Below are 14,260 nucleotides of genomic sequence, written 5' to 3'. Positions count from 1 at the left end.
AACTTTGGATTTATACTTTGTCATCACTACTCTAGAAGATTATCATCATGTTTTGTAAAATAAAATGTTAATTCTAGACATAAGGGGAAAGAGAAATTAAAACTATAGGGGTGAAAAAATATTGCATAATTTATTACTGTTGACCTGACCATATGACTGATTAAGGGCACTGAATTTAACTTGTATGTGAAGTAGACCCCATATTAGCTGCAGTTAATCAATAGACCAGGTATTCTAGCAGAATTAAATTTGATGCTCCTGTGTTATCTTTAAATGATACAGCTCTTCTGAAAACCCATACTCATAGTGCATGATTATCCATTAAGACAAGGTGATGGAATGTGTGAATACAGCTCAGGAGACACCACAAGGCAAATGCTCAATGGTTCCCATTAATATTGGGGAAATCAACATTATAATACAGAAAACCATAGGCATTATTTAATATTTGGTTTTGGAAGGTATTTTTAGTGACACTGCATAGAGTTGTACCTAATAATTGCAAAATTACAGATGTAAAAATAAAACAAAGGCACATTGTGTTTGAGTAGGAAATCTGTAGACGTCTAGCTGGTTTTCTATTCCAGGCCCAAAATTCTAAATATAATCATGGTACCCGCACACAAATTTATGTTAAATACCAACTTCAATGAAATTACTCTTTCTCCTCATTCTCTTTGTTATTTATATGTTGCTTTCCTTAAGGGAAGAATACAAATGCCTTGCTAAGAAGCATTTTGTTTGGTTGTAGGCTGCATAAAGGGAGTAAACACAAAGTACATTTGACCACAAAATGACTTTTTAAAAGCCAGAACTATGGTAGCATGAAGCCAACTGAGGTAATCTAGAATAAAATTTTCTATGTTTGTTTCCCTTCTTTGCTCTCTTTCTACTCTAATAACTGCGATTCACAGAGGTAATGAAGAGTATAATTCCCTGATAAAAACACAGCTCCAAGATTAATCCTTTCTTTAACTATGAAGTTCGTGTGTCCAAAGTCTTGTAGTTGCTGATTTTTGATCACGAATGGTGATACAGATATTTATCATCAACTCACAACTTCCCAAATCTTTGAAAAGTCTTACTATTGATGGTTCAACTAGTAGAAACATAATCTAAAATATCTGAAAATAAAGTTTTTATTAGAATGTAAATAGTAATACAAATTGTAATAAGGTGTAAAAGTTCTTTCTTCACTGAAGCAGGACCATGATGTCCTCTACCCCACAAACACACTACTCCCTCATGGTCTAATGTATCTTAAAAGTCCTGTAATTTCTATTAACTCAGACAAGTTTACTTAACTTGTTCTAAGCTTCTGTTATTTACTACAATTTACTTTATCACTCAACAATCTCTATTATATATGTTGTTTTCCATGAGAAATTTTTTTATTAATAATTAGGATTCTTCAGGGATAAGAAAATATTTGAATAACTAAGTTTGTGCATAAACACATTAAGGTCAAATACCCATGACAATATTGTGTGTTTCTCTGTACTAGAGACAAAAACTTCAAAAAAATTTTTAATGAATATACATTAAAAACTGCTTTCATTAAACTGAGATGATCTTCCCTCAATGCATGAATACCTTCAGAATTCACATAGACCAAAGAATTGTATAAAATATAATAGCCTTAAAAATCTTATTTGTACCTGGCACAGTGGCTCCTGCCTGTAATCCCAGCATACTGGCAAGCTGAGGCAGGCAGATCACCTGAGATCAGGAGTTTGAGAGCAGCCTGGCCAACATGGTGAAACCCCATCTCTACTAAAAATAGAGAATTTAGCAGGGTATGGTAGCACATGCAGGTAGTATCAGCTACTCGAGGGCCTGAGGCAGGAGAATTGCTTGAACCCGAGAGGCAGAGGTGGTAATGAGTCAAGACCGAGCCACTGCACTGCAGCCTTGGTGACAGAGCAAGACTCTGTCTCAAAAACACAAACAAACAAACAAAACACCTAATTGTTCCCACATAAGTCTATATTCACACAAGATCTGAAGAGTACACAACACCGTGAGACAGGACAGACATAAATTTTAAAAGTTATATTCCCAGTTTCTGTAAAAATAAAACGGTTGAATTTAAGCTTTTAAGACAAGTCAAGGAAAAGAGCAAAAAATGCAAAAGTGAAACTTGAAAGGTCATTTTCCCATCAAGGGCTCATGATCCACTGGACATTCACAAACTATATTGTTCAAAACATTACTTCTGAATTTTGATCTGAGTATCCCTGGAGTTGCAGTTTCATTCAAAGATGTCCAAGAGGTCAAATAAGACAATATCATTTGCTATTTTCAGTTTTCTTTTCTGAGAACAGCACAACAAACTTCTTCAGAGAAATGAATTGTCCTAACTTCATAGGCTAAAGGCTCATGAGTCACAGTTCTAAGGGCATTTATAAAATATGGTGGTGCATGCTTGTATTCTGAACTTTTCAACTTTAAACTCTCATATAGTAAATATTAATAGATACAAACTGATTAAAGAAAAGCCCACTTAATCTGACATTATTTTTATTTTTCTTTCTTTCTTCATTTATCAGCAACAGGAGAGTCTAACTAAATGTGGTAAAGTGGTATAAGGGAATACAATGAAAAGTGTAAAATGAATTAAACCAGAGATAATCATATCAATGTGGATATATCTGGAAAATATAATACAAAATACACCAAAGAAAGTGGCAGAAAGGTATGTAAAGTGTATAACCACTCACATACCATTTTGGGACACAAATAAAAAATTCTGCATATTATTTCTGAGCATCACAATATAGTTAAAGATTTCAAAAGGGCATTGAAATGAAAAACAACCAACTTATGATGTCGGTAGCCTCTATGCAATCATGTTTTAAAAACCTTAACACCAAAAAGTCTCAAAATCACCATTTTAAAAGACTGTGTCTACCAGTTATAAATGAATCATTACTTTCCTCATTTTTAATAGTCAAAGATGCCACAAACACACACATACACACAGCTATATATACACCTACACACACAGTCTTGCTCATTAGAACATCTGATTGGCTTCAGATCATCAGTGTAATAACACTAGCAGCAAGCCTCTAAAGTTAAAACAGAATCTGACATGTTAATAAGTAAAGCTTTCCTCTAGGTAAAGTTCAGAACTCCAAGTAGCACTTAACTCATTGGAAATATCTTAGAGTCTCAAAATTCACTGCTTTGAATCCCTGACAGGTATAAAAATTTTATACTGAAAACTTCATGCTATTCAAAACATTAAAAGAGAAACATCTGAGTTAAAGGTTACATTTTTAAAATCTTTTTTATGCTTCTAAATTTATTTTTATTCAAATATGGATACCAACAATAACATTTATGTCAATGCCTTCCATTCAATTTTGAACAAATAGAATTAGGAATAAGAATAATGTGAGTACTTCCAATCATTGAATGTACTTATTTCCAGTATTCCATTAAATGTACCTGCTCTCAATGTCTGTACATTCTTTCTTTGTACTGCTCCTTTCACAGCAGGATCTTCTACTTCAGTGCTAGGCTGAATGGGTTTTAAAAGAAAATGATTCATAAATCATATATATTTTATACAACATGGAGTTAGTGATTCAAAAATATACATAATTAATTACCTTCAAGGAAGGATGTTTTGCAGGAGGCCCTACAAAGCAAAGGGGATATGTCATCAATTATATGTAAGTATGACAGGGCCAACCAAACATTCATGCAGTGGTACTATCGAGCTGAATTCTCATGCCTGGCTATAAAAATAATTACTTAAGGTTTTGAGGGTTCTTCTTGGCATCTTTTCATTGCCTAGGACGGCAACATGACAGAAACATAATGAGGAAAATAGGAATATAGGATTCCTAAAATGCACAGTTTACATTTCAGTAGTGAGATTATGTTTCAAATGCCTATACCTAAAATAGAAAAGCATGGATATCACCGTGAACATGTGGACTGATGAGGAGAAAAGGGACCATTAAACAGAGGAGCAAATCAAACCTGAGGGAATCGACGTCAAAGCTGATGGTGAATGTACAGAGTATTTTAACTCAACACAGCAGAGGCATTGCTGCCAGCATGCCACAAACAAATTCCCCTTGTCTTGTCACTGAGGAAATACACAGTTGGGATGACAGTTCAGGTGAATGTGTGATTCACCTCTCATCAAAGAAAGTGTTCTACATTGATCAGCTAGTATACACACTTATGAAATGACAGCTAATCAAACTACTCATTTTTCCCATGATCACATGGGCTACTGCAGCACCTACATTTCTCCTATCCCCTCATTTGGCCTTGAGTTAGAGCTCCTTGATCCACTCATGCAAGGATCACATAAAATAAACCATGTCGAATAAGCTTCCGATATCAAAATATTTATCAAAAAAGAAAACACTGAATTACCACAGACTTGCTGGATATGAATACATATTTATATTTCAAAATCAGTGCAGTATTTATTGAAAAAGAGAATTTTGGTATTCACAGAATGAATTTTGTAATATCAAAAAAAATTAGCCAAAGCATCTATATGCAACTTAATCACATCTTATTCACTCATGTCAGTGAAACTTCTCTCTCTGAGGCCTGACAGTTATCAAGTGAAATGAGCTGCTGTGGTTTACCCCAACTCTAGCACTCCCTCCTGCCTCCAGTACTCTCCACAGCAATAACCTCTTTTGTGAGACTGGGCATATGCTGAAGCAACTGGAAGTGAGTTGTCTCAAGTTTACTTGGCTTCAACTCCCAAGACCCCAGCAAATGTCTTTCTTTCCTCCCTCCGTGTCCTTTCACAATCCCTCTTCCTTTGAAACAGTGATTTTTAGAACTGTCATCCTGATGCTTCCCTTCCTAACTGCTTTTTATGGATAATTGTGACCACTTTTTTCATCTGTATTCAGCAGTAGTATACACCTGTAATCTCTCTGTTTTCATCTCATTCTCCTTCCCCTGTGGCTAGAATCATGCTCAGAAATAAAAGGAAATTAATGCTTTCCCTGGATTCTGTTATTTTTTAAATTGCTCTCCAATGGTTCTTTTTCCAGAGTTCTCTAAAGGAAGGCTATTCCCTTGCTATTCAGAGCTGTGTCCAAGGACCAGCACCAAAAATCACCTGAGTACTCATGAGAAATGCAGACTCCCATACCTGCTGAATCAGAATGTGCACCTTCCAGAAGCTCTTCAACTCATTCATGACAATTTGAATGCCCTGTTCTACACTGATGTGCTTCCATATTGGTTTCCCCTAATTGCCCTTTTGGCCTAGCCTCAATTTCTTCCCTATTATGTCCCTCAATTTAATACTACATTATAAGCCATAATGTTTCTAATGAACTTTTAATCAGGCAATAACTTCTTGAATTAATTTCTTCTCCATAAATCACCCAACACTATTCAATTATGTTAATTTGGCCTATATGATACTATCCTATGAGGTTACAACATTTTCTATAAAAACAAATTATAGCCATACATGGCTGACCATCTTTGGTGATGTTCATCTATGGTAGATAAAACACAGGTCTGTGTGGTGAGGTGCCTCAATCCTTAATGCCTCCCCAGTAGCGAGGATGACAGCAAGAGAAGGAAAATGTTACTGTAATTCTCTGACACATTTTGGTACTGGAAGCTCACTTTATCTTCTTTCCTGTTTCTAACACCATGTTCTTCCTTCTTCTACAGATCAATTTGCCTTTACTATCCTCTCTTACTTACCTCTGCATATGCTTTTTTATTTATTCCATGTACAATCCGCTCTCCTCATTCTTTCTTTCTCTTTATTCATTTCCTCTTCCCTCTCTCCTGACTTGCCTCAGGTCTTAGAGTATCTTAAAATGGAACTCACAATTCAGCTCCTTTAGTGGTACTCCCAATAGAATCAACTGCTGACCCTTGGTTAGAGACACAACTTATCACCATTTCACTTCTCCTTTACTTATTATACAGTTAATAGGACACTTTCTTTAGCTATTACACTCTATTAGTGCTCATATTTTCAAAGAAACATTCCATCAAATGACTTTTTTTGTTTTGTTTTTTCTGAGACGGAGTCTCGCTCTGTCGCCCAGGGTGGAATGCAGTGGTGGTATCTCCGCTCACTGCAAGCTCCGCCTCCCGGGTTCAAGCCATTCTCCTGCCTCAGCCTCCTGAGTAGCTGGGACTACAGGCGCCCACAACACCACCTGGCTAGTTTTTTGTATTTTTAGTAGAGATGGGGTTTCACCATGTTATCCAGGATGGTCTGGATCTCCTGACCTCGTGATCCGCCCGCCTCGGCCTCCCAAAGTGCTGGGATTACAGGCGTGAGCCACCGCACCCGGCCTCCATCAAAAGACTTTTTAAATAAAATACGGTTCTCACCTTCTCCTTGTCCATTGACTATTCTGTTTCCTTTTTCATGCGAAGATCCAGGTAAAGGCTCTGACACTTTCTCGGGGACACACTGCTAAGGTAATATCAAGAATTAGTTTCCATTTTAAAATTATAATGAGTTGCATCAAGAGTTTCTTATCAATCTCTTTTTATGAAACTGGGTCTCACTCTGTCAACCCAGGGCTAGAATGCAGGGGCCTGATTATGGCTCACTGTTGTCTCAAACTCCTGACCTCAAGCAATCTTCCCACCTCAACTTCCTGAATAGCTGGAACTACAGGTGCGTCCCTTCATGCCATGCTAATGTTTTTATTGTTATCTTTGCAGAGACAAGGCCTCATTATACTGCCCAGGCTGGTCTCAAACTCCTGAGCTCAAGTAAATCTTCCACTTCTGCCCCCCAAAGTGTTGAGATAAGCAGTGTGCACCACCACACCCAGCCCTAATCAATTTCTTTAAATCAATCTCAATGTTGCCCAGGCATGGTGGCTCACACCTGTAATCTCAGCCCTTTGCAAGGCCAAGGTGGGTGGATTGCTTGAGTTCAGGAGTTTGAGACCAGCCTGGGCAACATAATGAGAACACATCTCTACTCAAAAAATACCAAAAGGAGTCAGGCATGATGGTGTGCGCCTGTAGTCCCAGCTGCTTGGGAAGCTGATGTGGGAGGATCACTTGAGCCTGAGAGGTGGATACTGCAGTGAGCCAAGATCATGCCACTACACTGCAGCATGGGCAACAGAGCAAGACCCTGACTCCCCAAAAATTTCAATTTAAAATATGAGAATGAAGAGAGATACAAACAAAAAACAAGCCTAATTGGTCAATGAAATATGAGCTTAAGCCAAGAAAGAAAAGAGACAACATGAAGTACAATAAAGTACATGGGGAAATAGATCTATAACAGAGCCTTTTGCTCTTTCATATCCCTGATAATACTAATTAATATTTATGCTACAATTAGTTTTTTGTAAGTACTTCTGTGATATAGTTTATTACTATAAGACATTCAATTAGCTAAATATGGTCATCGACCACTACCTGAAAGAACATTATTATAACACAGAGAGAAAACTAGAACTTTCAATCAACTTTCCACCCAGAAAAAAATTGGTCACCAGAATTCTAAAGAGTAACGTATGGCAGACACATGAAAAAATGCTCATCATCACTGGCCATCAGAGAAATGCAAATCAAAACCACAATGAGATACCATCTCACACCAGTTACAATGACGATCATTAAAAAGTCAGGAACCCACAGGTGCTGGAGAGGATGTGGAGAAATAGGAGTACTTTTACACTGTTGGTGGGACTGTAAACTAGTTCATCCTTTGAGGAAGACAGTATGGTGATTCCTCAAGGATCTAGAACTAGAAATACCATTTGACCCAGCCATCCCATTACTGGGTATATACCCAAAGGATTATAAGTCATGCTGCTATAAAGACACATGCACACGTATGTTTATTGCGGCACTATTTACAATAGCAAAGACTTGGAACCAACCCAAATGTCCATCAATGATAGACTGGATTAAGACAATGTGGCACATATACACCATGGAATACTATGCAGCCATAAAAAAGGATGAGTTCATGTCCTTTGTAGGGACATGGATGAAGCTGGAAACCATCATTCTGAGCAAACTATCGCAAGGACAAAAAACCAAACACTGCATGTTCTCACTCATAGGTGGAAATTGAACAATGAGAACACTTGGACACAGGATGGGGAACATCACACACTGGGGCCTGTCGTGGGGCGGACAAGGGGGGAGGGATAGCATTAGGAGATATACCTAATGTAAATGATGAGTTAATGGGTGCAGCACACCAACATGGCACGTGTATACACATGTAACAAACCCACACATTGTGCACATGTACCCTAGAACTTACAGTATAAGAATAATAAAGAGTAATGTATGGCTTGAAAACGTATATTTAATAGAACATGAGTTAGAGCTAATAAAAAGCTTAAGAAATGTTAATCTAAAATCTCAATGTTAAGATTCCAGTTGAATGATACTAGAAAATATATTGTAACCCTATTTTCTACTGATGACCTATTTCTATTTTATTTCCTTTTTAATTATGGCATAATTTCTCAACATAACATATCAAAACTTATACACCCTTAAATATTAAAAAATACAATGTAAGCAATATTTTAAATACAATATTTAATTATTAGATACATTAGGTTTATTATATTACTTATAACATTCCATTATATAAAAATTCATTTGTCTATTTATTCAGATTAAACAACTATTAAGGCTGAATGTCTTATGCCTGTAACCCAGCACTTTGAGAGGCTGAGGCAGGCAGAACACTTGAGCCCAACAGTTAAAGACCAGCCTGGGCAACAAGGCAAAACCCTGTCTCTACAAAACTCAGCTGAGCATGGTGACACAGGTCTATGGTGACATAGCTCTATTGTTTAAACTACTTGGATGGCTGAGGTGTGAGGATCACCTGAGCCCAGGAAATGGAGATTGGAGTGAGCCAAGATCTCACCAGTGCCCTCCAGCCTGGGGGACAGAGTGAAACCCCATCTCAAAAAACAACAACTAAAATGCTTCTTACATGGAAGACTGTATTCTAGGTACTCCAGGATACACACAAATATGTTTACTGACCTCCAGTAGCTTACGGTATGCAGGAGCTTCCAATGATTATTTAAACAACTAAATAGAAAACCTTCTGAAATTCAAAATTTCAGAATATGATATGAGGACTTTGAGTGGCTATTTTATTTTTTAAGATGTAGTCTTGCTCTGTCACCCAGGCTGGAGTGCAATGGTGCGATCTTGGCTCACTGCAACCTCCGCCTCCCGGGTTCAAGCGATTCTCCCACCTTGGCCTCCTGAGCAGCTGGGGTTACAGGCATGCACCATCACGCCTGGTTAATTTTTCTGCTTTTGTTTTGTTTTGTTTTGTTTTGGTTTTGGTTTTTTTTAGAGACAGGGTTTCACCACGTTGGCCAGGCTGATCTTGAACTCCTGACCTCAGGTGATCTACCGACCTCGGCCTCCAAAACTGCTGGGATTACAGGTGAGTCTCCACACCTGGTGAAGTAAATATTTTAAATAAACTACAATGACAAAATTATGAGGATAAAGTCTTACCATCCATTGGTATTAAGAGTCTCTGCTTCTAGAACTGGTTATTTGCAGCAAAATACATGTTATTCAATTAGATGAAGTGCCTTATATAAACTCTTCATGGACAACTCATAAACCACACAAAAATTCCTTTGCAATACACATTTTGAGAACATAAATTTAAATTTCTATATTTCCACAATTTATATTTTTAAATCAGATACGATGTTGCCCAGGCTGTTCTCAAACTCCTGGGTTCAAGCAATCTTCCTGCCTCAAATTCCCAAGTAGCAGGGACTACAGGTGTACACCACCACACTCAGTTATTTTTCTACAATTTTTATTTTTTTTTTGTCTCACTACAGAACCAATAATATAAGTAGAAAAACAATCTCTCGTAAAAACAATATGATACCAAAATAATAAGTTTCCAAGAACAAAAGCTATATGCTATGTGCTGAATATTCTTGCCACTAAAAATCACCAGGAGGATCCCATGATTACTGCAAATAATTTGATCCACTGAAGATTTATACAGGCATAAATATTAAGAAAGTCACACTCGTATGATTTAAAAGTCAAAGTATTAGTATTTATCCAAATAAACCTTAAGCAAATTTCATATTTCCTCTATTGGAGAAAGCATTTCCTAATGTGATTTTCCTGTCACTACTAATTTTCCAGTTCATTTTTTTTCAGCTCCCACCCTGTCACAGTACTTATCAATCTTTGTTAGTTACCAAAGTTAAACACATTTTTTGAATCAACTAGCCATATGTATGTTTTTCTCTGACCAACTTTCCATTACCACCATAAAACAATGATAGGTAAACCACTGCTAAATTTGAAAAGTAAATACTATGCAAAAGTACATTCAGAGTGAGAAAATTAATTTTACAAGAGACCACTTTACCTTAGTAGCAACATTCAAGTCTTTGTCATCCGATGCAGGCAATGAATCCACACGCAGTTCATGGAAAATGCTTGAGAGCAAAAACACACAACGAAAATGAGCAAGTTGATTTCTTTACAATTTTTTTAACTGCCAGTTTATATCCAGCTTCCCCCTCAAAAAAGGAAACCATAATCTAGGGAAAGGTCAGCAATCTATATATTAAATAGTGATTCTTGATATAATTAAAATATGTCCTCTTCTAAAAATAGATTTTAGTTACCTATTTCTGCCTCCACTTGTCTAAATCTATAAAATATTCAATGAAAACTAACCTTGAGCTTTATAACAAATAGTGACAGTCAATAAATTGGCAGAGCCTGACAATGATTTGCCCTCACAAATTATCTGTCCTGAAGCTGAACTTAAAATTCAATTAATGGATGACATAAATTTTGTTACCTAAACTGGAAGAAAACTAATAACCTAAAACAAGGTAGAAAGATCCACTGTCTCTTTTCCATGATCTGTCTCTGGATAAAAGACTAATCTGCATCACTTCAATATGGCAGTCTTGATTCCTCAGCATGGAACCCACTTAGGAAGGTCCTATTGCTTTCCTTTGCCCTAAATCAGTACAGGAAAGCCCCTACAATATTTGAAATGTATGAAAGCTAAATGTACAGAAGTCAAATAACAAAGGTGTATGTTCTTATTGAGAATACTTTTCCCAGAAAGATTGAAATATTAACAATTATAAAATCCCATTATTTTCACCCTATAGGTCCTACCTTATTCAGGTCCACATAAACTAGCAAGCCCTTAAAACTTTTCATAGGCACTCAGACACCCAAGGAGAGAGACTGTCAGAAAAAAACAGAGTCCTGGTAGGTGTACCTCTATTTCCCTAAGTACTCTCTAAGTATCTGTCTTCCTATGGGCTCCCACTTCCAGATTCCACTTCTGCAGGGCTCCACAGAAGTCTCCAATCTTTAAATCTTCAGTCTATGAAAGCACAGATTCCTGAAAGGATGGCCTCAAATGACCAGGACTAGGAGCTCTCTATATCCCTGCTCCTGAAAAACAAGCTAACTGGAGTCTCCATCACCTGCCCCCAGCTAGACACACTACCAACTACCCAACTGAACTCCATGACTGATTTGCCAGCCAATCATGCCCCTGAACCAGCCCACATGGACATGGGAAGGACATCAGTGAATCGGGAAAAGAGGCAGAGGTGAGGAGACACCTGTACTGGGCCACAGATCTATGTAGTTCAGCAATCTCCAGCCCCTTAGTACTCCAGGGGCTCTAAGCCACCCCTTTCTAAGTCAGGATGGAAGTAGATGACACCACATTTCTATCTGCTGCAGACGCTCCTCCCAGTGTCTCAAAATGTTTTAGCATCTTTCAGTAAAAATCTTCAAGTTTGTCAGTCCTTGATTTAAAAAAAAGCAGCAAACTTTTTAGAGCTCCCTTGAACCTTCTATTTTAATGTGCCTTCGTAGATAATTCCCAACATCTTGTGTCCTTCATTTTTATAATTTATCTTTATCAAACTTGTCATAAACCCCAATATTTTGATCTCTTATAGAAGAGTCTGTACTCCTATCCAATCCAGTGTTGTTTATCTTCAAACTTGGACTTCCCCTGCTCATTCCATTCTTATCTACTTCCATTGGGTTCCCCAGCTAATTCCATTCTCATTCTACCCACAGACTCACTCCCGTTTGTATTATTAAAACACACGCCAATAGGATATAAAAAGAAGCAAGAGTACTGGGCTTTAACATGAGTTCAAATCTCATTTCTGCCAATTCCTATGTCTAAAAAAAAGCATCCTAAACTCTTTGAGCCTCACATTCTCTATCTAGAGAATCATTTGACCAGAATGTTCAACACAGGTAAAAATACTAGAAGGTATTTTAATTCATTCCAAGATTCCTTAAAATTCTGTAATTCTATGTCCTCTTGATTCTGTCTATAGAAAAACTTAGAATACATAGCCAGCAGAGTTTGAAAAAATAATAGAACAAAAGAAATACCAAGAAAAGCAGAGAAGAAAGTTTTAAAAAATGAAGGCAAGATTATAGAAAAGTCACGGAAAAAGCAACAAGACTAAAAAATGTATTATGGAAGTAAGCAGAAATACTTGCCTAAATGGAAAACCAAACTGGGAAGTCAAATAATTTGTCTCTAAGACTTGCCTAAACTTGCTTTTGTAAAACTTACACCCCTATGGCAAAGCTAAGTAAGATCTGCCCTAGAGCCTTTGATGGTAAAAATAAGATACTGGTTACCACTGAAATTGTCAAATTTATTAGGACAAACTCTTGGACTAACCACATTCTAATGATAAACTTAAATGAGAGTTCAAGGTATTTAAACTCTCATTAATTTAGACATTAATCAAATTAATCAATCTGACTAATCTGATTCAGACCTATACCTTGATCCAAGGGCTGCACAGATATCTGTCAATCTATGCTGAGGAGCAAGAGACAGGATTTGGAAGGCAGGCAGGCTGATGGTCAAACTGTAGGCCAGCTACTTTGTTAACTATGGGATCATGAGGCAATTAATCAGCTCTAATCCATAGTTGTTTATTTAATAAACAGTAGGTTATAGGAACACAGATGTTGTGATGGCTTTATGAGATGATAAACGCATAGAACATATTAGGATGTCTAGCCCAGAATACAACACTCAACAGATATTCGTTTCTTCCATCTATATTTTCTTAGTTAACATAATTTTTTAAATCTATAAAATCCTACCTGACTGCAGATTCATCAGAACTTCCAACATCTATTAAAGAAAAAGGTAAAATGCATTTTAAATCAATAACAAATGTACAGAATATTAAAAGCATAAGAATGCACAGTGATGCATCCCTCTAATCCAAACTACTTGGGAGGCTGAGGCAGGAGGATCACTTGAGGAGCCCAGAAGTTTGAGACCAGCTTGGGAAACATAGTAAGACTCTACCTTCATAAAAAAATTGTGCACACTTGTATGTATGCTTTAGATCCTGTTTTTTGTTGTTGTTGTTTTTGTTTTGTTTTGGTTTGGTTTTTTAAAGCATAAGACTGATGCTTTGTTACAAAGCATTCCTTTGGGAGCATGCCTGGGACCTTATTAGAATTAACATTCGTTATACATATTGGTAGGTAATTAATGCAGTAAGAACTCTTCCCTTTGTATTTATTAGATGCAAAGAAGAATAAATTTATTAAAATTTGGTATCTACAAGTGAACTGCAGTATGCAAGTCATCTTAGCCAAACCCTATGAGGTTGAGTAAAAATGGTATTGTTAGCAGAACAGGTGTGATGAGTCACCAGTGTCAAAGAGCATGATTTCTGGACCAAAATATGAGGCGCCATTAAAACAGAGTACACAGTAGTACCCCTTATCCACTATACGTGCAGAAAGACATACTTGACACATTTTTCTCTACTGTCACACCACAGCAACAATCATCAACAAAGAAGGCTTCTGTGACCAAATGTGTGGAGGGTTTTTCCCCACCAACAAGCAAGCAATCATTCCTGCTGATGACACAATTCAATTCTCACACCTTATCTGCTGGTAACATCAGATTCAATTTAATTTATAAATTAAACTTTAGCATAGATATGTATGTATAGGGAAAAACAGTTTGTGATTCAGTACTATTCATGGTTTCATGCATCCACTTGGGGGTCTTGGAATGTATCTCCCACAGTTAAGGGGGAGCTACTGCACTTATTTTGTTATAACACAACACAGCCTCTCTAGCTCTTCAGTTCAAACTGCTCAGTTTAGAATAAAACACCCTAACACCAGATGTCAGCAAAACATAGGAATCCGACCAGAAACAGGAATCCTTGCAAAGACTTTCCAGCCGCTAGTG

At 37.1% G+C, this 14,260-nt stretch overlaps 1 pseudogene across 6 annotated transcripts in view; it reads right to left on the bottom strand.

Annotated features, from left to right (window-relative positions):
* Window positions 1-14,260, bottom strand: part of ANKRD20A2P (ankyrin repeat domain 20 family member A2, pseudogene) — a 60,257-nt pseudogene that overhangs the window by 27,456 nt on the left and 18,541 nt on the right. For 5 of the 6 annotated variants that reach the window (XR_007061496.1, XR_004837499.2, XR_004837500.2 and 2 more), the window contains exons 7-11: window positions 13,144-13,174; window positions 10,388-10,457; window positions 6,355-6,439; window positions 3,618-3,646; window positions 3,454-3,526 (exon numbers count right to left, since the gene is read on the bottom strand). The product of XR_007061496.1 is annotated as an ankyrin repeat domain 20 family member A2, pseudogene, transcript variant X1 (transcript). The remainder of the gene's footprint in view (window positions 1-3,453; window positions 3,527-3,617; window positions 3,647-6,354; window positions 6,440-10,387; window positions 10,458-13,143; window positions 13,175-14,260) is intronic. The other variant, XR_004837502.2, reaches the window with a different exon arrangement.

Source organism: Homo sapiens, chromosome 9, assembly GCF_000001405.40.
Source record: "Homo sapiens chromosome 9, GRCh38.p14 Primary Assembly".
In the NCBI taxonomy this organism is placed as follows: domain Eukaryota; kingdom Metazoa; phylum Chordata; class Mammalia; order Primates; family Hominidae; genus Homo; species Homo sapiens.
Note: the sequence above shows the minus strand (reverse complement) of the source record. Positions and strands in the feature narration are given on the sequence as shown.